We start from the raw sequence: 26943 nt of genomic DNA, 5'->3' as shown, positions 1-26943 counted from the left end.
TGCTCTGTGACGTCACCAGGACGAGGCGGGGAGCAATGCGCCGCTGCCCTGGCAACCGCAATCAACACAGTGGAGGCGAGAAGTCTGGCCTTGCGCCGGCCGGGGAGCTTTTCGCCAAGGCTCCTGTGGGATGGGATAGCTTGTTCTCTGGGCTGCAGGAACCAAAACATTAGACCACCCTTTCTGTGACCTTGGGCATGCCGCCCTCGGTTCCGAGCCGCAAGTCTTTCTTTCGGGGAAAATGAAAAGGGGTCAAGATTTGGACCAGATGACACCCAATGTCCCATTCAACGGTCGCATTCTGTCATCCACAGGAATTAGTCCTGTATCCGAAACATTCTCTGGTAGTCAAAAGCTGTGAGCAAATAATAAGAAAAAATGTGCAAAACGTTTTTTAGTACAGTTAGCAAATAGTGTACTCAGTTGTTGAAGGAAATGGGATGAAGCCTATCAGATTTCAACAAACTTATTTACCTCTTGAGAAAGCTGCTCTCTTTTCGGTTGTCCTTCTGTGTCTCTCTTTCAAAGATCAAGTCTCACTGCGATGCTGATATGTTTTTAACACTTCTCCAGCATTTCTTAACCTAACAGCAGGTTTCAGGCACAGGCCTGCAGCAAGCAGCCATATCCAACTAAAATTCCACTACTATATGTTTTTATTTGCATTACATTTATCAGGGAGCTTTCTATTTATGGCAAGGAAACTGATTTTAAATTTAAATCAGTGATATACATCAAGAGCTAGATTTTGCATTTTTAAGTGAAAAAGTAAGCTATCAAATAGAACAGGTGGAATTTGGATATGGTGGGGCGGAGGGGTAGGCAGAGCAGGGGAGAGGAACATCGTGATAGTGGTACTCAAATTACTAAGTTTTAGAAAACACTATCACGGGGCCTTTCAGGAGCCTGGAGACAGATGGAGGGGAAGACAGAAGAGAGATTAAGGAGAAGAATGGTAAGAGTATAAGAAAAGAGAAAATACATCTTGCATGTCCACCCTTAATTCAGTGAGCTCCCCAGCTTCTCTACGTGGCTGTCTTGCAGAGATAAAGGGGCGTCCATAGCTCATCAGGGCCCCCTGGGATCAGGCCAGAGGGGTGGCACTTTGCCAGCATGAAGAAGTGTGCAAGCCCTGATTTGGAGGTGACAGGAGTAGTCAGGGGTTATTTTGAGAGCTGGAAATTTAATCGTTTGGATCTTTTACTCCCCATCCCCCTTTTTTAGCCAAGTTCTCTGGCAGCTTCCTTCCCCTGAGACTGGTGGCATGGGGTAGGGCAGACTTCACAGCCCAAGATGAGATGGCACAGCCCATCCAGGAAAGAGGATATTTTCTTTTCCTCTGGACTCAGAATAAAGCTCAGAGAACATATACACAAAATTTCGAAAATTTCTAAATAAATTTCAAGGCAAACAAAATTGTTTTATAAGACCTTAAATTGTTTTTCTCTTTAAAATAGTATAAGCACAAGATGTGAAGGAGGCCACACTTAAAAAAAAACTTGAAATGGAGTAAGTTATGTGATAAAAGATGGTGTTAAAATAGTTCTGGATTAAGGCCAAGTAAATTTGTAATGTTACCCTCTAGTTTCTGTGGGAACTTTTTTAGAATCACATTGTTATAAAAGCTTTAGTCCAGGCACAGGTTAGTCAGGGAATTAGCTGAACCTTGTGAAAGCAGTTTGGATCTAATGACAAATGCAAAAAAAAAAAAAAAGGAGGGCAGAGCAGAGTTGGCACTGAAGAGACCTTGACATCATTTTCAGAACTGATGGGTAAGAGGTGGAAATGAAAGAAAGCGTGGGTCAGGAGAGAATGAATACTCCAGCATGGGAGGAATAGAGATGCAGAACAGGACTGAGAGGAGAGGGTCCTGGACTTGGCTGTAAATATAATCATAATAGCTAATATTTATTGAATGTGTGCCAGGCACTGTTGTAGGCACTCCATATGCATTACCTCATTGAATCCTCATTAGCAGTTTTATGGAGTAGAGATGGCTTTTATCCCCATGTATAGATGATGCATTCAAGACACAGAGAAGCTGAATAAATTGCCAAGGTTCACACAGCTAGTAATTGAACTGAGCTGGGTACCTGGAGCTTTCCTCTGTGAGTGCTGGTTATATGGTATGTGAGTGATGAGTCATACTTAAAGATGCAGGATGAAAGCGGGTAATCATTTTTCAAAATCATGCTGACAAGCTAAATGGACCCAAACTAAAAAGTACAAAATTCAGTGGGAATATATTCACATCACATAAATTCAATTCTACAAATATTTATTGAGTGACTACCCAGTGTTGGGGACTGATCTACGACCTTAGGCATCATTGAACAAAACGGACAAAAATCTCTGCCTTCCCGGAGTTTATGTTCTTGTAAGGACAGACTCAAAATAAACAAAATAGAAAATAGTATATTGTAAGGTGATAAGTGTTAGGGAGAAAAGCTGATCAGGGTAAGGAGTATGGAGAGGTGCAATTATAAATAGCAAGTTTTGTGTACGCCTCACTAAGGGGAATTTGAGCAAAGACCCACAGGAAGGAAGTGGATGTCTAGTGGAAAAGCATTCCAGGGCAGTGCTAAAGTAGCATTTGCCTGGTGTATATAATGTACAGTCCTACTCATATGCCTTAAAACTCACCTTCTGAGTGAGGAATGAGATGAGCCAAGTAAACTGAAAATTGCCTAATAGGGTAATAGCTCTCATTTACACTTCATATATTCCAAGGATTGCACTAAGTGCTTCACATATGTTTTCTCGTTTAACCTTTACAGCAACCATGTCTAATATTATGTTTATCCCTAAATTGCATTAAAAAAAGCTGGGACCCAGATAAATTTGATAATTGAATTTTGATAATTGATTTGAAAGTTGATAATTTGATTAAATTTTGATGATTGAAATTTGATGTCACTCAATTCAAACCCAGATTTGTCTTACCCCAAAGCCTGTATCCTCACCACCATCCGTACTTTGCCTCCCTATTTTAAAAATTAACTATTTATGGAGCAAATATTTGCAGTAAACACTTTTACATCTATAATCTGTAACTACACTGTTGCTTAGGTTTCATTTGGAAGGACACTGACTAAGGAAAAACAGAGAAAAGGATGAAACCCAAGCCAACTCTGCAACTCTATTAAAAACACCAAGACTTCAATATGTAAGTGATTTCGTGTTTCTTTCATTAATTTATCAAATACTTATTAAGGACTAGTAATATCCCAGACATTATTCTAGACACTGAGGTTACAAAACTCCCTGGCCTTTCGGAACTTACATCCTAGTGGACAACTCTTTCCCCAGCTAATTTTACAAATACTGTTACAGCACCTCAGAATTTTCATAATGTTTCTGAAGACATTATCTCAAGTGCCCAAAAGAAAATAAACAGGCTCTTGAGTGCTGAACTTTTAACTTAATTATAGCTTTCCAGAGCCGTGAATATTAGGCCATTACAAACACCTTTACCACAATTAAGCTCAATGTGTCTAGGGTTTCGTTGTCCTAATCCCTTTGTCTTAAACAGTGCACAGAGGTCCTCTGAGAATGAGATGCCATAGCAAACTCACAAGGGGCTATGGGACAAATTTTGAGAGAAACTTGGCATGTGTTAGACATTGTTCAATGTACTAGTTTAGGGCAGTTCACATATTTCAATATTAGATTGCACTACATTGTTTTAGATGATGTCATATCATTGGAAAGGTAGGTTTCTGAAAGTTACTATGATGAAAATGAAGTACCTGTCAATGTGGAACAGGAAAGATTGGTGGCAACATTCAGTCTGTTTCTAAAGTTTGAAAAATTGTGCTGTGCTAGGCGGGCACCCATCTGTTAGTATGATTATTTAAGAATTATACAAAAATATGTTTCTTTCAATTTATGTGCATTATTTTTTAAAGGTACTGAGTTTTTAGGTCAGAAATACGCTGTTTGTATCTAAATTATACAATAACGGACCTATTCAGTATTTCTTTAAACCTAGGGGGCACAATGAAAAAATTACTGAGGAACTAAGGGCTCATGAACTAAGATAGTTTGGGGACCTCTGTCTAATCCCACAATCTTTCTTCAAATTAAAAAGAAATGTAAAATATCATGCATTCCTTTTCTAAAAAATATGTTTCATTTTATTTTTCATGTTTATCTTCTTTACAGTCAGCTGACTTACCAGTCCTCTAACAGTTTTGCTTTATATCTTTTTGAAAGATGGGAAAATGGTGCATACCGATTAAGTGACCTGTAAGAGCATAGATCCCAAGGTCTTCAAACTCCCAGTAGGGCTGCCTCTAGTCCATAATGGCATCTTTGCTCAAATTAGAAAAAGTGCCTCCCTCTCATGATACTTCCATTAATGAGAAATTTGTCTTAATAAATAGACAAGGCTGTAATGTATATGATTTGACTGGTGCTCGCTTAGGTGTTGTATACATGTCCATGGCAGCGCTGTTCCTAATCTTGAATTCTTTCCGCTACATAGGAGTTAATTGAGTGCCAAGCTTCATCCCCAAACTCCCAAACTCATGTGCAAGAAATGTAATTTTATTTTCCTGCAATCAACCTTAATTTATCTTCTGGGCTTACATTCCACTGGGAGTCACTCCCATTTCCTCTTCCACGGAGACAATGCCAAGGTGTAGTTGGTTGCTAGCCATGCTGCATTCCTGAAGTCATCTTTATTGCCCTCACTGGGTAGGGCCAAGGGTACTAAACATCTCACTATGTGTGGCACGGTCTGGCACAATGAATCGTCCTTCCCTAAATACCAATAGCAGTCCTCTCCTTTTAAGAAATACACTCTCTAGAGCAAATATTTCCTCCAGCGAAGTAAAAATTTAACGAAGAATTGAGTTAACAAAGGAAAAAAGTGGCAGACTTTTAAAGTTATATTTACTTTTACAGCTTTTATCTGTAGATGTGTATGCCTATGACTAGTGGTTTATTTTGCACAAATTATAATTGAGGCATATTTTATTTTGAAAACTGTTGAGTAAATACCACTTTTGGGGGGTTGGTAACAAGAGATTGGCTTTAGTGAAAAGATACTAGAGGCAAGAAGCTGGGGCTCTGGGCCCTGGACTTGGGTCCTAGAATTCAGGTGGTAGTGAGGGAGTATGTAAGAATTCAGGTGGTAGTGAGGGTGTATGTAAGCAGAGGAATGTTCTGTTTCAGTGATGGATGGGCAGAGTGGGTGAGGATGACAGAAAAATCTGGAGAGGAAATCAAGATCCGCTATTGGGTCAGGGCTGAGCCAAAGATTATAGTGTTTAATAAGCATAAGCAAAAGTTTTGGCCTTTCCCTCATTTCTTTGATGTACATCTTTGAGGCTTGGTTACTTAGGGATGTATTTCATAATCTTTTAAAAATAATCCTTTACTTTCTTTTTTTGTTTTGTTTTTTTTGGGGTGGAGTCTCACTGTGTCACCTAGGCTGGAGTGCAGTGGCGCGATCTCGGCTCACTGCAAGCTCCGCCTCCCGGGTTCCCTGCCTCAGCCTCCCGAGTAGCTGGGACTACAGGCGCCCGCCACCGTGCCCGCCTAACTTTTTTTGTATTTTTTGGTAGAGACGGGGTTTCATCGTGTTAGCCAGGATGGTCTCGATCTCCTGACCTCGTGATCCGCCCGCCTTGGCCTCCCAAAGTGCTGGGATTACAGGCGTGAGCCACCGCGCCCGGCCTAATCCTTTACTTTCTACCATAAAGACACATACACATGTATGTTCATTGCAGCACTATTTACAGTAGCAAAAACATGGACTCAGCCTAAATACCCATAAATGATGGACTAGATAAAGAAAATTTGGTACATATACACAATGGAATACTACACAGCCATAAAAAAGAATGAGGTGACGTCCTTTGCAGCAACATGAATCCAGCTGGAGGTCATTATCCTAAGGTGATTAATGTAGGAAGAGAAAATCAAATACTGCATGTTCTCACTTATAAGTGGGAGCTAAACATGAAATAAACGTGGACACAAGAGAACAATAGACACTGGGGCCCACTTGAGGTGGGAAGGTGGAAGGAGGGTGAGTACCTACTGGATACTATGCTTATTACCTGGGAGATAAAATAATTTGTACAACAAACCCCTGTGACACACAATTTATCCATGTAACAAACATGTACCCCACGAACATAAAAGTTGAAAAGAATAAATGAAATAAAATAATGATTTAGATAAGTGCTAATTTCTATTCAGTAATAGTTCCTGTTTAAAAAGTATCTACTGGGCTGAGCGCGGTGGCTCATGCCTATAGTCCCAGCACTTTGGGAGGCCGAGTTGGGCGGATCACAAGGTCAGGAGTTCGAGACTAGCCTGGCCAACAATAGGGTGAAACCCCGTCTCTACTAAAAATACAAAAATTAGCCGAGTATGGTGGCGCATGCCTGTAGTCCCAGCTACTTGGGAGGCTGAGGGAGAAGAATCGCTTGAACCCGGGTGGCGGAGGTTGCAGTGAGCCGAGATCATGACACTGCCCTCCAGCCTGGGCGACAGAGCAAGACTCCATCGCAAAAAAAAAAAAAAAAAAAAAAAAAACCAAGAGAAACAAAGTATCTACCAAGAGTTTTGTAAACTTTTATCCCAACTAATTCTCTCAATAATGCTATGAGGGAGGCATTATTTACATTTTGTGTGTGCGAACACAGAGGTTCAGGTAGGGGAAATGATTTTTAGCTTGCAAGGTTCAACTATAAATGGTCTTCTAGCTGGTGAGTGGTTTAATGTGAATTCTGATCCAGACCTGACCGTTTTGAAGGCCGTTCCCTTCTCACTGCACCCATAGCCAACTCTCATGATAACGAAAAAGGACTTGATGGTGTGGAATTACATAAATGTAAAGCTTCTGGGAGTATCCAAACTTAGGTTGTTTGGTTTAAGTACATAAAGAAGTTTTTCAATTTTCCTGAAAAACAAAACAAACAACACTGAAACTATCATTCAATGAATAAAATAAAGGCTCTTACTCTAAAGACAAATAATTTGAATGGCAATGTCAAATACAAATATACCAATTTTTTTTGGTGACAAAACTCCAACTTTCCACACAGCCCGTAATGGATTCATGTGCAGTTGATGAATGAAAGTCCACATCCAAAGCTTGCTTAGTCTTTACAATTTACGTTTTAAATTGAGGTATAACTTAAACATGGTAAAGTCTACTAAACTTCAATGTATAGCTCAATAGCTTTTTACATATGTGCAAACCTATGTAAACAACACCCAGTTGAAGATATAAAGCATTTCCAATACTCAAGAAAATTCCCTTGTGTCCCTTTCCCATCCATGTCCCTCTAGGGTAACCACTATTCTGAGATTTGTTTCTTTCACTTAACATTATGTCTGCAAAATTCATCCTTGTCATTGCTGTCATTGCATGTAGCAGCAGTTTATTCTTTTTCTTTGTTGTATTCTAGCATATGAATTTGCCACAAGTAATTTACCCATCTACTGTTGATGGATTTTTTGATTGTTCTTTTTTTTGGCTTAAAAAATAAGGCACTATGATCATGCTTGTGTTTTTCCTGATTAAGTTTTAAAAATCAACTTACATTCAGCTATTCTTGAATCTTTATTGTCATTGAAATTCTGAAACTTTTTTTCTACAGACAATAATTTTATAAGAAAGATTTTTCTATTGAGTCAACACCTTGATAGTTGCTACTGTCTTAGAAACACTTCTTTTAAAAAATAAAAAATCTTAGAATTACAGAGCCTAAAACAAGTTGAATAGTAGAAAGCACTCTTCAGAAAATACTGTTGAGGTCATCTGTTCTCAGGAACACTTTAATGTGGCTATCTAGAGTGTTATTTTTAAATCCTTGATAAGATTTGAAGAGAGTTCACACTGTAGTTTGGAGGCCCCACTGCCAAGGCAATCAATTGAAGTCTGTCCAGAGGACAAGTAAATTATTTTGGAAAACATTAAGGACCTGGAATACCTTCATCTCTTTGTCATATGCTTAGATGTCTTTACTATTTGAAATGGTAGGAATAATCACAGAAGAATTGTTTTTAATTTCAAGAAGCTAGAAAGGACACAATAGTCATTATAAGGCCATGTAAGTTTTAATGCCATTTGTGATATATATTCTGGGGTAACAAGGTAAAGGGGAGCTAGGGAATTGAGAATGAGTGGCTCCAACCTATACCTGATTTCCTCCCAATTCATATCTCCCAAAGACCTAGAAATTCCCCTGGGAAACAGCCTCCAGGAAGGCTCACACTGCTGAATGGCACTGGCAGCCTGTTGGGAGAAATAAGACAGCCAAGGCCAGAGGTTGTCGGGCGGGGTCGGGGTGGGGGCGGGGCGGGGTGGAGAATGTTGGGGTCTGCTGTAGGTTGTTAATAATAAAAGCTAAAACCTATGTACTAGGCACATTAATTCACATGTTTTTTTTTTCTTCAACTCCTACTTTAAGTTCCAGGGTACATGTGCAGGATGTGCAGGTTTGTTAAATAGGTAAACGTGTGCCATGGTGGTCTGCTGCACAAATCAACCCACCACCTAGGTATTAAGCCCAGCATCCACTAGCTATTCTTCCTGATGCTCTCCCTCCCCTCCTCCCAGTGTGTGTTGTTGCCCCCAACGTGTCCATGTGTTCTTATCGTTCAGCTCCCACTTATAAGTGAGAACATGTGTTGTCTGTTTTCCTGTTCCTGCAATTCACAACAGTTTTATTACTATTTTACATAAGCGAACACAGGTTTTAGAGAATTAACTAATTTGCAAAAGGCAGTATTGCTGGAAAGTGGAAGAACTGGGATTGGAACTCACGCTGTCTGACTGTAGAATCTGGGCTCTTAATCACTGAGTATAACCTCAGCTGGCCCCACTCACTGCCTAACACACAGGAGACTAGCTGTCTTCTTTACCTCCAGTTGAGGGTAGGGCTTTACCTAGAGTTGGAGTCAAAAACACGAACACCAATAGGGATCAGACAAGTAAAAATGTGAGGCAAGTGAACTAGGTAAGATGATAAGGAGAATAAGAATTAATAATAATAATAATGCCAGGCACAGTGGATCACACCTATAATCCCAGCACTTTGGGAGGCCGAGGTGGGCAGATCACCTGAGGTTGGGAGTTTGAGACCAGCGTGACCAAAATGGAGAAACCCCGTCTCTACTGAAGATTAAAAAACAAACAAACAAACAAAAAAAACAAACAAAAAAAAAAACAACTAGCTGGACATGGTGGTGCATGCCTGTAATCCCAGCTACTTGGGAGACTGAGGCAGGAGAATTGCTTGAACCCGGGAGGTGGAGGTTGCAGTGAGCCGAGATCATACCATTGCACTCCAGCCTGGGCAACAAGAGCGAAACTCCATCTCAAACAAACAGACAAACAAACAAACAAACAAAAAAAGAGTTAATAATAATAATAATAATAACTAACATTTGTTGAGTTTCTACTGTGTGCCAAGCACTGCTCTAAGTGCTTTACAAATTTTAACTCCCTTAATCCCCCAGGTGATCTAATGAGATAAACACTATAAGTATGCCCATTGTGTATAAGAGGATGATACAGGTCAGAGAAGAAAAACTGCTTGCTCAAGGTCACACAGCCAGAGGACCCTAGCTCTTATCACTGTGCTGTATATTCACAGGAACCTGGCATGGTGGGCACAGTCGGGCACTGCAGGCGGCTTGCCTCCAGCAGAAGGAATACTGCTACTCAGCTCTAGATGATTGCCCTGAAGAAATTCATGCCCACTGGTAATATGGAATTGTATATGAAATCTAATTTTTTAAAGTTAACAACTAATTAAAAAGAAAATAGCAGGCCAAACAAATCTTTCGGTGAACCTGGCCCATAGGCTGCAAGCCTATGATCTAGTTAGAGTGAGTTTTCATGGCATGAAAGAGACACATGATCCTGGTAACATTCACATACTGCCTTTTGAGTGTAACTCAAAACTATGTTGATGGCAGGTCTTGTGTTGTGAGAGCTGAGAAGCAAAGTGCCCTGACTCCTAGCAGTAGGCCTTTGTGAGTGGACACCAGTTACCAACCATATCAGTGAAGGGTCATATTTTAAAATTCCAGGGCCATGAGACAGTTGTTTTATTTCTGCAGGATATTTAGATTACAGATTAATTTTTTCATTTGGACCACAAAAGGTTAGCACAGCTTTATCAGGTTCTGTGTATTATATTACTGTTTTAATTCTCTTTAGTCAGTCTTAAAATAGATTGACATCATTTTGGTCTCTGCTTTAAAGTGCCTGCCTTTCAATTTCTTATTTATGAAGACATCCCTCCCTGTATAGCTTTGCAAAATTAGACTCTAATAATGTATATAATAAAATATCAAAAGCCCATATTTCCATATAAAAACAATCTATTAAACTAAAGGTGACTGACTGCTTCCAAAACTTTTTCTCATAATATTAGTCATTTGTTTACTTGTCACTTGTTTTGTCACCTATTGTAGAGTCATAGGTGTTAAACAAAAAACTTGGTAATATTTTTAGGAGAGTCTTTCTTTTACCTTATTTTCTCCTCTTCAAACCTTTATATTTATATTGAATATGTACTCTAGGTTCTCAGGAAAAAAAATGTTTAAGCATTTTATTAGTCTCTTAGGGCTGCCTTAATAGAGTACCACAACCTGGTGGCTTAAAACAACACAAATTTATTCTTTCACAGTTCTGAAGGTTAAAAGTCTGAAATCAAGCTGTTGCAGGGCTATGCTTCCTCTGGAAGCTCTAGGGAGGAATCCTTCCTTGCCTCTTCCTAGCTTCTCATGGTTGCTGATACTTGGCTTGCCTTGTATTACTCCAATCTCTTCCTCAGTCATTACGTGGCCTTCTCCCCTGTGTGTCTCTGAGTCCAGTTCTCCTTCTCCTTATAAAGACACCAGTCACTGGATTTAGGACCCACTCTGATACACTATGACCTCATCTTAAGTTGATTATATCTGCAAAGACATTATTCCCAAATAAGGTCACATTCACATTTTTCATGTGGATGTGCATTTTAAGGGAGGGTACTATTTAACCCAGTATGAGTATCTATTAGTAACTTGTACAAAAATAATCAGAATAGCTACAGAACAAAATTATCAGTGTTAATTGTTATGTAAGACTTGAAATATGACCCAACAATCAGCTGGCAAACTTGAAAGCATATGACTTTACAAAATTTTACAGTATGCATTGTGGAGATTAACCTCATTCCTTCTAACTTCTTACCTATTTGTATTAGTCTGTTTTCACACTGCTATAAAGATCCTACCTGAGACTGGGTAATTTAGAAAGGAAAGAGGCTTAATTGACTCAGTTCTGCATGACTGGGGAGATCTCGGGAAACTTATAATCATGGTGGAAGGCAAAGGGGAAGCGAGGCATGTATTACATGGTGGCAGGCGAGAGAGAGAGGAGGGGAAAGTGCCAGAGACTTATCAAACAACCAGATCTTGAGAGAACTCACTCATTATCACGAGAACAGCATGGGGGAAACCACCCTCATGATCCAGTCATCAGTTCCACAGATCTTTAGGGCAGGGGCAAAATGCCACCACTTTCTTTGCTAAAGCATAGCAAGAATGACTTTTACTCCAGTTCCCAATAAGTTCCTCATGTCCATCTGAGACCACTTCAGCCTAGACTTCATTGTCCATATCACAATCAGCATTTTGGTCAAAGCCATTCAACAAGTCTCTAGGAAGCTCCAAACTTTCCCTCATCTTCCTGTCTTCTTCTGAGCCCTCTAAACTGCTCCAACCTCTGCCAGTTACCAGTTCCAAAGTTGTTTCCACATTCTTGGATATCTCATAAGAATGCCCCACTACCTCGGTACCAATGTTCTGTATTAGTCTGTTTTCACACTGCTATAAAGATACTACCTGAGGTCTCAGGAAACTTACAATCATGGTGGAAGGCCAAGGGGAAGCAGGGTATGTCTTACATGGTGGTGGGTGAGAGAGAGAGAGAAGGGGGAAGCACCAGACACTTATCAAACAACCAGATCTTGTGAGAACTCACTCATGAGAACAGCATGGGGGAATCTCCCCCCACGATCCAATCACCTTCCATCAGGTCCCTCCCTCGACATGTGAGGATTACAACTCGGATTACAACTGGAGGTGAGATTTGGGTGGGGACACAGCCAAACCCTATCACTATTCTACTTTCATTCTTTCTTTTGTCCCATTTTCTCCATTGGCTTGCTGAAATTTCTGTTTTATCTGGTGATATTCTATGAATTTCGATAAAATACCTGGAGCTTTTCTGAAACAAAGATTGGTAGGAATAAATAAATAAAATAATTAAATAACCGCTGTTAATTTTATGGTAATGTTGAGATATTGGCCTCCTTTTGAGAGCAAATTTACTATGAGATGCTTGCTAACATGATAAAGTGCCAGTGTAGATCTCAAAGTGAAGGCTGTAATTGCCCAGACCTTTTCACATTAGGTATCTGCATGAGTTATAACTCTTCTGTGAAGATAAAAAGGCTTCTGCAAATTGCCCCAGTGCTGTAAGGACTGTCAGACAGGAGGGCATCTCAAATGAGATTAATGATGTTTGCCTTAATATAAGAAAATTTAGCATAACCAAGATTAAAGATTCTGCAGAAACCTGTCAGCAGTCATTTATTTTGAATAAATATTATTTTTAATTAAAGTCCTAAGGTAGGTTATTCCTGAAATAATGAGATCTACAATGATTTCCTTTGGGAATTAATGTTCTTTATTAATTTTCAGTCATTCTGATGATCACAGCTCATTCAATATTACTCATGGCAGTCAGCTTGGTAGGACATGCCAATTTCCAGCTAAAGGCATGAATAACCCTGTATTTGTTTTTCATGGCACTCTCATTTTCTAATTATATTTGTCATTGAACCCGAACACTTTTATAGGTATGTCCATCCATAGCAATATATAGTGACTATGATTCATAAAATAAGGAAATCACTCACAAAATAAAGCTTCATAAAATAAAGGGAACATAAAATCAGAAAATTATAGTATTGTCATTTTTAACTATTTAAAAAATTGGTTCTGCTTCTTTGCTAGGCATTGTGCTAAGTGTTTTATGCACATCAACTCTAATCCACATGAGAACTCTGCATGACAGAAATTGCTATTCCTGTTTACTAGATCATGACATGGAAGTTCAGGAGGTAGCTTGCCAAAATTTAGCTCTATACCTCATGTTCATAGCATCATGCTATGTAGCCTCTCTACTAATGGTAGTGATCACCCAGCTTTAAGAAGCTTTAAGAAGCTGGGTGATCACTACCATTCGTAGAGAGGCTACATAGCATGTACATAGCATTTATATGAACATCAGTATTTATCAGTATGTGGTTCAACCAGATTTTCAAGGACTCAACAGAGTTGGTGTTTTTGTTACTGTTGTGTGTAACAAACTACCCCCACAACTTTGTGGTATAAAAGAGCCATTTTATTATGCTCACAGATTCTATGGGTTAGAAATCTAGCCAGGGAAATGAAGACGGCTTATCTCTAGAGCCTCAGCTGGGAAGACTCTATGGCTAGAGGGGTTTTCACTCACATGTCTGGTGGTTGATTCTGGTTATTGGTTGGAAATTCAGTTGGGACTGTTAGCTAGAACACTAAAATCCACACTGTCTATAGTGCATGGGTTTTCTCAGAATGTAGCAGCGTCAGAGTAGTTGGTGATCTTACATGAAAGCTCAGGGCTCCAGGAGTGAGCATCTATATTAGTCCATTTTCACACTGCTGGTAAAAACATACCCAAGACTGGGTAATTTATAATAAAAGAGAGTTAATTGACTCACAGTTCTCTCCATGGCTGGGGAGGTCTCACAATCATGACAGAAGGCAAGAAGGAACAACTCACAACTTACGTGGTAGCAGGGAAGACAGAGAGCGTGCGCAGGGAAACTCCCCTTTTTAAAACCATCAGATCTTGTGAGACTTATTCACTTTCACAAGAACAGCACAGGAAAGACCCGCCCTCATGATTCAATTACTCCCACTGGGTCCCTTCCATGACATATGGGAATTGTGGGAGCTACAATTGAAGATGAGATTTGGGTGGGGACACAGCCAAACCATATCATTCTGCTCTGACCCTCCCAAATCTCATGTCCTTACATTTCAAACCCAATCATGCCTTCCCAACAGTCTCCCAAAGTCTTAACTCATTTCAGCATTAACTCAAAAGTCCACAGTCTAGCATTAACTCCAAAGTCCACAGTCCAAAGTCTCATCTGAGACAAGGGAAGTCCCTTCCACCTATGAGCCTGTAAAGTAAAAAACAAGTTAGTTACTTCCTAGATACAATGGGGTACAGGCATTGGGTAAATACAGCCATTCCAAATGGGAGAAATTGGCCAAAACAAAGGGGCTAAAGGTCCCATGCACGTCCAAAATCTAGCAGGGCAGTCCAATCTTAAAGCTCCAAAATAATCTCCTTTGACTCCATGTCTTGCATCTAGGTTACACTGATGCCAGAGATGGGTTTCCATGGCCTGGGGCAGCTTCACCCCTGTGACTTTGCAGGATACAGCTCCCTCCTGGCTGCTTTCATGGGCTGAGTGTTTGCTTTTCCAGGTGCACAGTGCAAGCTGTCATTGGATCTACCATTCTGGGGAATGGAGGATGGTGGCCCTCTTCTCAAAGCTCCACTAGGCAGTGCCCCAATGGGGACTCTGTGTGGGGGCTCACACCCCACATTTCCCTTCTGCATTGCCCTAGCAGTGGTTCTCCATGAGGGCCCCACTCCTGCAGCAAACTTTTGCCTGGGCATCCAGGCATTTCTATACATTTTCTGAAATCTAGGTGGAGGTTCCCAAACCTTAATTCTTGACTTCTGTGCACCCACAGGTCCAACACCACATGGAAGCTGCCAAGGCTTGGGGCTTGCACCCACTGAAGCCACAGGTCGAACTGTACCTTGGCCCGTTTTAGCTACAACTGGAGTGGCTTGATGCAGGGTATCAAGTCCCTAGGCTGCACAGAGCAGGGGGGGCCCTGGGCCCCACCCACGAAAGCATTTTTTTCCTCCTAGGCCTCTGGGCCTGTAATGGGAGGGGCTGCTGCAAAGGTCTCTGACATGCCCTGGAGACATCTCCCCCATTGTCTTGGTGATTAACATTTGGCTTCTTGTTACTTATGCAGATTTCTGCAGCTGGCTTGAATTTCCCCTCAGAAAACGGGGTTTTCTTTTCTATCACATTATCAGGCTGCACATTTTCTGAATTTTTTTTGCTGTTCCCCTTTTAAAACTGAATGCTTTTAACAGCACCCAAATCACATCTTGAATGCTTTGCTGTTAGAAATTTCTTCTGCCAGATGCCCTAAATCATCTCCCTCAAGTTCAAAGTTCCACAAATCTCTAGGGCAGGGGCAAAATGCCGCCAGTCTCTTTGGTAAAACATAACAGGAGTCACCTTTACTTCAGTTCCTAACAAGTTCCTCATCTCCATCTGAGACCACCTCAGCCTGGATTTCATTGTCCATATCATTATCAGCATTTTGGTCAAAAGCATTCAACAAGTCTCAGGAAGTTCCAAACTTTCCCATATCTTCCTGTCTTCTGAGCCCTCCGAACTGTTCCAACCTCTGCCTGTTACCCAGTTCCAAAGTCACTTCCACATTTTCGGGTATCTTTACAGCACTGCCCCACTCTACTGGTACCAATTTACTATATGCCTCTGTTTTCACACAGCCAAACCATGTCAGCATCCCAAGAAAATTAGGCACAAACCTTTACTGAACTAGCTTTGGAAATTATGCTGTGTCCCTTCGGATGTATTCTGTTGGCTATGACCAAGTTACTAAGATTGACACAGAGTCATGTAAGGGACGTAGATCTTCACCTCTCAATGGGAGAAGCATCAAAAAGTTTGCAGACATGTTTTATAACACCATTACAGAGAGTATCAACTCTATTATATATTGTCACTTCTTGGTGCAGGGTTCTTATCTAGTTCCCTTTTTTTTGGATCCACTTTCTGTCCAGCTGCTTCCTGATGACCTATTTGATTCCCAGGAAAATAAGAAGCAAGGAGAAGCTCCAGGCAAATGCACCTCTATTACCAGCTGGAGCTTCTGCCACTAATTTCTAGCTGGTCTTCTGCCTTGATAAGTTGGCCAGAGAAGAATAGAAGCATCGGCAGACCCTTTTCAACCTTTTCTCCGGAGGACAGAGGGAGCCAGACTATACCTTTTGTTTCCCATAGACCATTTCTCTTGGCTCTTCAGGACCAAGTGCAGGCTGAAAAAATTCATATTTATTGCTTCACTCATAGGAGTTCATGCACCTGGTATCCGATCCTTTGTAAATTAAAAGATTTGTTGATAGGAAGCGTCTGCTGATGGAGACTGAAATCATGGATCAAAGAATGGTTGGTAAATATAGAATTAGAGTAGAATTAGCCATTTCCATGTGCTTAGAATATAAGATGAATGAAAGGCTTTTTTTTTTTCTTTAAAGAAGGAAATGTTTAGTTGAGTAAAGACACAGAAACTAATTAAATTGGCAAGGAGGTGATTAGGCACCAGAATTAAATTGATGATTTGGTGTCTCCTTTCCCTTGAGCCCACTCCTTAAGAGATCATACCATTATGACATAAAGTCAAGCTGAAACATTCATGCCAGATCCCTCTAAAAGGGATACATTCAGTTTCAGAGAGGTACTCTTAACTGACTAGCATTGGCTTGGAATAGAGAGCTGAGGAGCAATGATAATTAGGAATTCTCAGGGACTGTATGTACTCATTCACTTCATGTTTGAAATGTTTCTACATAAAGCTATTCTTGCTATTACAATATAACTTTGTGAAAAGAGTGCTTGTCTACTAGCCTTAGGAGAGGTAGGAAAGGAATTATGCCATCTAGCAGTATTCCATGAGTTAATGGAAATTTGGATTGGTAGATGTGCTATGTGGCCAGGTTCTTTTTCAGGATTTAAATATTTTCTAAAGCTTCATAATTATCAAGGTATTTTCTGCTATGGATGAACTGAAATACTACCTTTCCAAATATCTCTTGCAACAGGAGAGCAGTCAGTTGACTCAGTTGTAGCCAATGAGGTATAAATTTTAATATATATATACTCTTTTAATTTCAGAATCTCCTTAAAGGGAGGCAGTGCATTCTTCATGGCTAGAGCTTCAGCAGCTATCTAGAACCATATGGTGGAAGCCACTTACTGAGAACTGTGAAACAAGAGCCTGGGTCCCTGACATATGAAGCCACCATACCTACCTTAAAGTGTCTTTCACTTGAGGGAAAAATACATCTTTCTTAGGTAAGCCACTGTTCATCGTTTCTGTTGTGTTATCAGAACGAATCGATATACTTAATTAATCCTAAATGATACAATGCCTTTGAAGATAATCTTATCAGCTTTGGTCCCAGCAGGAAAAGATGACATACTCAAAACCTTAATGAAGTCATTATATACAGAGATGTGGGCAGGGTTAAAGGAACCAATTTGGGAGTAGTAGCTACAAGAAACAATTTCAGCACCTAGGTCTGAAGAGGTATAAGGAGGGAGCTGTTGATTTAACATGGTGAGAGCTGTATCCTTGAGAGAGAGACTAGCCTACAAAGGTCAGAAGAGCAGCCACACCGGCCCAGCACGGTGGCTCATGCCTATAATCCCAGCACTTTGGGAGGCTGAGGCAGGCGGATCATTTGAGGTCAGAAGATTGAGACCAGCCTGGCCAATATGGTGAAACCCCATCTCTACTAAAAATACAAATATTAGCTGGGCATGGTGGTGCACACCTGTAGTCCCAGCTACTCCGGGAGGCTGAAGCAGGAGAATCACTTGAACCCAGGAGGCAGAGGTTGCAGTGAGCTGAGATTGTGCCACTGTACTCCAGCCTGGGGGACAGAATGAGACTCCATCTCAAAGAAAAAAAAAAAAAAGGGCAGCCACACTGAAACATGGCCTCCAGGGGTACAGATACCCAATTCTTTCTCCTTCTTTTTAATTTCCTGACAGTCCCTCCCGTTGGCCAAATGCAACCAGAAGCCAGAGGGCAAGGGAAACTGGGTGATGCAGTCTGTGAAAGTCAGCCTCTTGAGGCACTGCAGGGAAAGAGGAGTCCAGAATGATTGTGAAGGGATGATGGAGAGTACTAGCATACATGCAATTTATCCTAATTACAAATTGACTTTTTAGTTCTTTTTTTTTTTTTATTTTTTTTTTGGAGACGGAGTTTCACTCTTGTTGCCCAGGCTGGAGTGCAATGGCGTGATCTTGGCTCACTGCAACCTCCACCTCCTGGGTTGAAACGATCCTCCTGCCTCAGCCTCCCGAGTAGCTGGGATTAGAGGCTAATTTTTGTATTTTTAGTAGAGACAGGTTTTCGCCATGTTGACCAGGCTGGTCTCGAACTCCTGACCTCAGGTGATCTGCCTGCCTTGGCCTCCCAAAGCACTAGGATTACAGGCGTGAGCCACCACACCCAGCTGACTTTTTAGTTTTTAAGTGGCTTGAAGGAGACTAATATAATCTTAATTTGCATGAAATCATATAATTTGGAAGTTTATTGCTGCTGTTCATTGATTGTTTACTAGTTTAGATGTGAAAGGTACATACCCTATGGCTCAGCAATTCCACTTTTAGGAATCTATGCAGCCACTAAAAAAAATGAGGCATATAGCTATACTGCTTTGGAAAGTTATCCAATGTATATAACCAGGGAAAAAAGTTAACTGGGGACCAGTATGTTTCTCATGGTCCTCAGTATGTTGTTATGGTCTGAAAAGCAAGCCCATGTGTAAATATCTCTATACAGATGTATTTGTTTAGGCACAGGGCAAAGTTGAGATGAACTGTTCAGAATGGTCACCTGGTCAGGAGAAAAAAAAGCAGCAGCAGAATAGGAGGGGCAGACTTTCTTTACATTCCACAGTTCGTTGCCTATGGATGACTTTCCTTTCCTTTTATGTTTTTTAGCATTTTCCAATAAAAAAACCCAATCATAAAAATATGGAATATCTCACTTAAGAAAAAGCTTAAATCGGGATATAATTTTCATTTTGTGTATCCTTTTATCAGGCTGTTTCCTCTATATGAGTTTAGCAAATCCGCAGATTTACTAAATCATATGTGGCCATTTAGTAGCTTGGATACTTACATTATATAATTTACAGAAAAAATATAAATATTGAGAAAATTTTTTAGTACTTAGCAGAAAGATAATTACTTTAGTAAAATGTTGGTCAATCATATTTAATTTACAAATTCCATATTAAAACTGGAATCCAATATTTAAATCCCAATTGAAGACATTTAAACATTAGATTTAAAAAAAATTCCCAAAGTAAAAATACATTTCAAATCTATGTTGCCTTTGTTAGTAAAAGAACAGAAATTTTTGCCACAGATCATGGTAATTCCAAAATAGTTATTTCAAAAAATAAGAGAAGCAGCATATATTTTTATAATCCTTACTTTCAAAGATCTCCAAGTTCTGTGTAAATATCTTTCCAAGGAAGTAAGAAATTAATTGAACAATTCTCTGGATAATTACATTGCAGTTATTATAGTAAGGTAAAAATACTTAAAAATTGGAACTTCAAGTTAAAGACCTCCAAAAGAAACAGAGTCTCTGGCATTCTCTAGGCTATGGTGAACCATAACCTGTTATCAATCACTTGTCACCTTCTCATATTGTTAATTATAAATAAGATACATTAAAATTCTGAGCACGTTGCTGAAAATGGGTCACATGACCTTTGAAACACAAGTATGATTATGGGATAACAAGTATTAATGTGAAAATAAAATTTTTTTTAAAGGTTCAAGTGTTTTTGATGGAGTAGCTATTACGTAATACAGGGCTTGAGCTACTACTTATGCTCTATGATAGGCATATACAAATTTTTGTTTTTTGGCCAGGCGTAGTGGCTCATGCCTGTAATCCCAGCACTTTGGGAGGCTGAGGCGGGCAGATCGCGAGGTCAGGAGATCGAGACCATCCTGGCTAACACGGTGAAACCCCGTTTCTATTAAAAATACAAAAAAAAAAAAAAATTAGCCGGGCGTGGTGGCAGGCACCTGTAGTCCCAGCTACTCGGGAGGCTGAGGCAGGAGAATGGTGTCAGCCCAGGAGGTGGAGCTTGCAGTGAGCTGAGATCAGGCCACTGCACTCCAGCCTGGGCAACAGAGCGAGACTCCATCTCAAAAAAAAAAAAAAAAACAAACAAAAATTTGTTTTTTAAAAAAACATTTCAAGTATGAAATGAAATATCAGACATTATAATTTTGGATGATCTTCCATTTTCACCTCATGTAATTAGACTGCAGATGATTCAAGTTTACAGCATTTTGAGAAAAAGCATTTTTTTCAAGTTGCTAATAAATCAGTCATCTGCCTTATCTTCTCCAGATCAATTAGACTTACTATAGCAGAAAAAGCGAAGAGAAAAGCTATAATATGGCTACATAAACAATCTAGTTATAGAATTTGTTTAAAAAATCTACCCAATCTTTAATATAGTCATTCAATCCATTGTGCTATTTTAAAAAAGATTTTTCAATTACTTATGATTTTCAATTCAAGTTTATAACACAATTTTCATAGAACATTTACAGAATCACAGACTGCAGCTATGGATTTTACTCAAGACGTGGGATTTTAGCAGTTCATTTTCATTTATTTATTGTTTAGAGAGAGGGTCTTGCTCTGTCACCCAGGCTGGAGGGCAGTGGTGTAATCACAGTTCATTGCAGCCTTGAATTCCTAGGCTGAAACAATCCTCCTGCCTCAGCCTCCAAAGTAGGTGGTACTACAGCCATGCACCATTGCACCTTGTTCATTTTCTTTTTATTTTTTGGAGATGAGGTCTCGCTGAGAGGTGAAGCCAGCTGGACTTCTTGGGTCGAGCGGGGACTTGGAGAACTTTTCTGTGTCTAGCTAGAGGATTGTAAACGCACCAATCAGTGCTCTGTGTCTAGCTAAAAGATCATAAATGCACCAATCAGCACTCTGTAAAAACGCACCAATCAGTGCTCTGTGTCTAGCTAAAGGATTGTAAATGCACCAATCAGCCCTCTGTAAAATGGACCAACCAGCGCTCTGTAAAATGGACCAATCAGCAGGATGTGGGTGAGGCCAAATAAGGGAATAAAAGCTGGCCATCCGAGCCAGCAGCGGCAACCCTCTCGGGTCCCCTTCCATGCTGTGGAAGCTTTGTTCTTTTGCTCTTCACAATAAATCTTGCTGCTGCTCATTCTTTGGGTCCGCACTACCTTTAAGAGCTGTAACACTTGCTGTGAAGGTCTGTGGTTTCACTCCTGAAGTCAGCGAGACCATGAACCCACTGGAAGGAAGAAACTCCGGACACATCAGAACATCTGAAGGACAAACTCTGGACACACCATCTTTAAGAGCTGTAACACTCACCGCGAGGGTCTGCGGCTTCGTTATTGAAGTCAGCGAGACCAAGAACCCACCAGAAGGAATAAATTCCGGACACATTGCTATGTTGCCCAGACTGGTCTGGAACTCCTGGCCTCAAGCAAACCTCCTGCCTCAGCCTTTCAAAGTGCTGGGATTACAGGTGTGAGTTACCATGCTAGGCCTAGTTCATATATATATATATATATATATATATATATATAATTTTTTTTTTTTTTTTGAGACAGAGTCTTGCTCTGTTGCCCAGGCTGAAGTGGCATGATCTTGGCTCACTGCAACCTCCGCCTCTCGGGTTCAAGCAATTCTCCTGTCTCAGCCTCCCAAGTAGCTGGGATTACAGGCACCTGCCACCATGCCCAGCTAATTTTTGTAATTTTAGTAGAGACGGGGTTTCACCATATTGGTCAGGCTGGTCTCGAACTCCTGACCTCAGGTGATCCGCCTGCCTTGGCCTCCCAAAGTGTTGGGATTACAGGCGTGAGCTACCGTGCCCGGCACCTAGCTAATATTTTAAAAGATAAAAAGGGAGCCTGAACTATGCTATGTTTTTTACACTGTGAGATAACAAGCCTGAACAACAATACAAGATCTAAGGAGAGAGGGTCAGTTCAGTTCATCACTCTTTCAGAACTGCACTGGGATCATTTTGCCATTCCTTCTCAAGACCTAAAAATAAAACGATTACATTGTTGATTTTAAAGTGTTGTCTTACTCTATTCGTAGTCTTTATTTCTTGAAAGCTGACCTATAGCTTTGGAAGGAGAGATGATAGGTGCCAGCTGGTGGACCCAGAATGATTACATCAATACATTTTGAAATATTTATACAAAGAAAGAGTCAGACTAGAAAATTCTGGGCAAGAGTAGGACTAATAAGATCCCTACTTAAATTCTAGTCCCACCATTTAGTTCCTAATGCAACAGAGAAGGCACCACGTACAGTGTACTTCCCTGACATCCGAAAGCCTCTGTCAGCTCAGGGCCATTTGGAGATATAGATCAGAGAAACCAAAATAATTTGGTTATAACATTTATTTTTGCACTGGCTCCAAATAGCTTGAGCAATGTAAATAAACAGGCTGCTAAATAGATTTCTTATTTAAGATGGGCTAATTAATTCTTCATTAAAACATATTTATTGAGACCTTCTGTATGTCAGGCATTAGGCCAGATTCTGGAGAAACAATGATAGCCAAAATAACTTGGAAATATATCATGACAGCATTTTCTTTTAGAAAAAACTCACCAAATAGAGTTGAATATATTAATCAATGTCCATCCCTATGATAAAAGGTTAAGATAATTACAGAATTTACAGTGTTCTTTCTTATATCCATTTGTATTCCTGCTGTGCTCTACTGACTCAAATGTTTTCTTATGAAGAGTACTTACTTTTCCATTATTCTATAAAGGAGTTCCAAAGAGTAAGGCTTACAGGAGGACATTAAAAAATTGTGCAAATAATCCAAGCATTTTATCAGTTGAGTAATGGCCAAGAGTTTATTTAAAATCTCTTGTAATACTCACAAGGAATTTTGGGGTAGGGAAAGGAGGAAAGCAAAGAGTAACATGGGTGCAAGCCTTTGATATAAACTCATCTAGAGTTTAGTGGCTGAAAATGTCCTATGTCTTATTTCATTTCTAGTTTTTTTTTTACTATCTTATTTGCTTAAAGATTTTCACTTGATGCACAAATCAAAGGAAAATCTGGGGAGGGACCTAACCACAGGCAAATGAATTGTGTCTTTTAGTTCCCAAATGATGCTTTCTATAACAGTACAGAGTAGAAAAACAGAGAGTAATGGAACACACAGTGGTCTACATGGTTGTGCAAACCCTTACTGGCAGATGCAGTTCTTTTTTAGCGGCATTGAAAGTCTCTTTTCAGCTCCATTGCAGAATCTGTCGTCTTGGCTGACAAATGGCAGTAGGCAAGATTGTTGATGCTTGTGGCCAAATGAAGACTTATCTTATTCAGCTTATTCTCCACAAAAAGAAAGAAATAGAGAGTCAGAGGGGTACTAGGAACCTGAAATTTTGCCTAGATTTTTGATAAGATTGACTGAGCAGGGCCACTTGGGTATTTCATGAGAGGTACTCTGTCCTAGGTTAAAACTGCAGTAGTTCCCAGCCTTCTAGAATAGCTATCAGGAAGATATAAGTGGGTGACTGAGAGTTCCTATGGCTCCAGCTTTCTTGTCCTTCAAGACTCAGTTTGATTGATTTCTTCCATGAAGACTTCCTTAATTTTCTAACTTACAGTAATTTCTCTCTTCTTTGCAACCAAGTCCTCTCCTCTGCCACTAAGTACTATATCTCTGACATCATTTACATGTCTGGGCTTCACAACTAAGCCTCTTGAGGGCAGGATCTCTACTGGATTCAGGTATGCATCCCCCAAGCACATCTTACTGTGCCCAGCATGAACTAGGTACTCAAAATGATATTCATGAATAAATGGGTAAATCTGACTGTAAAGAAGAACTGAGATTTCTCAAATAAGTAGATGGTAGGTCACTAATTGCAGAGTAAGTAAGGTTTCTTACGACCTTGGCAGGGAAGAAGAGCAGGGAAGGCTGAGGAAATCGCTGGAACGGCAACTATTGACCATGGCAGCTCAAGCACACACATAAACACATTCAAGTTGGAGTGTAGCAACTATTTGTTCCACATTTCACTAAGATGTCTATCATGTCAAATGTTCCCTTGGCATAAATAGCAGAAGTTTCTATGAAGGGCTTTCTTTTATGTCATTTTACTGAAAAATCAAAGTAGGCAGGTCTGCAATTAGTATCCTCATTTCACATGTTAGGATGCTGAAGCAAAGGAGGTGAATGATTCAAAGTATTCTGTGCTCATATCTTTAGCTCTTTGACTCCTCATAACTAGAGAGTGCCAGGAAAAATGCTCTTATTTCATTTTCCTTGAGAATATACTTACTTGTCAGAAATGAAAACTCAACCTGTATTATCAGTACCCATCATTTTGTAAGAAATCAATGTTTCGTAAAACACTTAAGGTCTCATGTATGTCCAAATTATTATCATTAATCAAGTGACATGAAAGGAATTATTCTGTTTTATAGACTCACCATATAAGGATATTAAAGAAGGCTAGCTTGAATTAGGCAATATGTTTGATCATGTTCTATGCAGTCCTTTTTATTAAATTTGATTTGGCTTGTGTGGTAATATTGTGGTCTTTGATAGGAATGCAGGTAAACGAAGTTAATAATATATAAAAATGAATCATGTTGAAAACTAGGGAGGAAGGAAGTAGTTACCGAATTCCTGTAGGGACCATAGTTTAGTTCATTAAAAAAATTTGATTTTCGGCCAGGCATGGTGGCTCATGCCTGTAATCCCAGCACTTTGGGAGGCCGAGGTGGGTGGATCATGAGGTCAAGAGATCGAGACCATCCGGGCTAACACGGTGAAACCCCGTCTCTACTAAAAATACACACACAAAAAATTAGCTGGGCATGGTGGCAGGCGCCTGTAGTCCCAGCTACTCAGGAGGCTGAGGCAGGAGAATGGCATGAACCTGGGAGGCGGAGCTTGCAGTGAGCCGAGATCGCACCAATGCACTCCAGCCTGGATGACAGAGTAAGACTCTGTCTCAAACCACCGCCCTCCCCCCCAAAAAAAACCCCAAAAAACAATTCTGTCACAGTTCAAGCTTCTGTATTTGGGGTACTTGCCACAGAGGAACACTGGTATTAAATATAATTGAAGTAGACCAGATTTTCACTGTTTTATAGATAAGGAAGATCAGGGATATTGAGAAAACTGCCTAGCCCAGGTCCTCTGGAGAATCATTAGTGGCCCAAATGATAACCCATATTCTTGCCCAGACCACTAACATATACTTTCCAATAGGGTGATAGTACTTCTATAGTTTATAAGTTATACAAAGTATGAAATAAAAATATTTCATAAACTGTAACCCCTTTTTAAGTCACTAAAATTGTATACATCTATGTTAAAAACCACACAAATCTCGGTTCATTTGGGGCACTTTTATTTACAGCCAAGGAAAAAAGAAAACTAGCATCTATTTAGAATGGGAAAGCATGTTTGTATGAAAACAAATATTTCATCATCACTTATTTTCTATACTGTTTGCAACTAAGTTTTACATTTTTCATTTTCAACAGAGATTTGAATTTTAATGTCCCAGAAATATAAAGAAGATGGCATTAAAATGTCCTATATGTTGGCAGTCCTACCCTGAAGACTTTTTTTGCTTATCTTTTGTTCTGAGCTACAGTCTTCGCAGAGACTAAATTAGTGACTGGACAACAGAAGAAAATAGACCATCCTGGCTAAAATGGTGAAACCCCATCTCTACTAAAAACACAAAAAATTAGCTGGGCATGTTAGCGGGTGCCTGTAGTCCCAGCTACTCGGGAGGCTGAGGCAAGAAAATGGCGTGAACCTGGGAGGCGGAGCTTGCAGTGAGCTGAGATCGCGCCACTGCACTCCAGCATGGGGGATAGAGCGAGACTCCGTCTCAAAAAAAAAAAAAAAAAAAAAAAAAAGAAAATAGAAACGGGAAATATTCATGTCAGCTGTTAAAAACCAGTTTTGTAAAGCAAGGCCTAAAAGTCCTATCTCTGGCATGTTTAGTATGGAACGTATAGTTGATTGTCATTCAGCTACTAGAGAAAGGTATTCTACAATGGCAGATAGCCTTATCAAAACAATTAGCCGGCTTTCTCCACAGGGAATAGCAGTGGGGTAAGTAAGACTGAAGTGAGAGCTCTTATCAGTTTTCTCAGAAATGATTTCTCCATCATAGGTATTTGGCCAACTGGTTAGGTCTAGCATGAACATGTGATTTCTAAAACAATGAGCTGAGATCTGCTAACATGTTGTAAAGGAGCATCTAGTAGAAGCTGATCTCTAAGCAAAATCACCAATTTATTTAAGTTTCAAAAATTTTTTTTCCATAAATATGTTCTTTAACATGCACATTCTGCTTACATTGTTTAGGGTGCTTTTTATTGTGCCTAAAAATTTGCAATATGGTGAAATAAAATATTTAAAAATGGTTGAATACCATACGGAAGATGAAATCTCATATTTATAGCATGTAATTCAATTCTCATGTATGCATAATTAATCAAAATTGTGTCTTTAAATGACATCTTGACATTTTTTGAATTGCACTAAGAAACACTAGTGTCTACCATTCATTTTAACAGACTTATTTATGTTTAGCTTTATTAACAGTATAACATTTTCATGCAATCTTAAATTTTGTTTTAATTTTTACAATGTTTGATTTAATTCAAATTAACAAATATTCAAGCCTACATGAGAGACAAATGAAATGAGACTACCTTTATATATAATCAGCAAAATTCTTTTTAAGAGTAAAAAGTTAATATTGGGATTTAAAAACCTAAATTTCCAATGTTACTGCTGACAATCCAATCCAACTATATGTATATTACTTAGGCCACAGGACTGCCCATTAGTCTTTCTTGTCGGAGAGCAATTAATCTCTTGAACCATTTTTCCTCAGCATCAGCTTTCTCGATAAATAA

At 39.7% G+C, this 26943-nt stretch overlaps 1 protein-coding gene and 1 long non-coding RNA gene across 5 annotated transcripts in view; one reads left to right on the top strand and one right to left on the bottom strand.

Annotated features, from left to right (window-relative positions):
• Window positions 60–25906, top strand: MLF1-DT (MLF1 divergent transcript). The gene is made up of 5 exons (NR_104147.1): window positions 60–955; window positions 3070–3166; window positions 9621–9729; window positions 17085–17264; window positions 25549–25906. It is a non-coding gene; the product is annotated as an MLF1 divergent transcript (long non-coding RNA).
• RSRC1 (arginine and serine rich coiled-coil 1) overlaps window positions 25396–26943 on the bottom strand; it is a 435642-nt gene continuing 434094 nt past the window's right edge. For all 4 annotated transcript variants that reach the window (NM_001271838.2, NM_016625.4, NM_001271834.2 and 1 more), the window contains one exon: window positions 25396–26943. In NM_001271838.2, the coding sequence (NP_001258767.1) occupies window positions 26851–26943 (93 nt within the window). In that variant the 3' untranslated portion in view covers window positions 25396–26850.

The sequence above is a fragment of the Homo sapiens genome, chromosome 3 (genome assembly GCF_000001405.40).
Source record: "Homo sapiens chromosome 3, GRCh38.p14 Primary Assembly".
NCBI lineage: Eukaryota > Metazoa > Chordata > Mammalia > Primates > Hominidae > Homo > Homo sapiens.
Note: the sequence above shows the minus strand (reverse complement) of the source record. Positions and strands in the feature narration are given on the sequence as shown.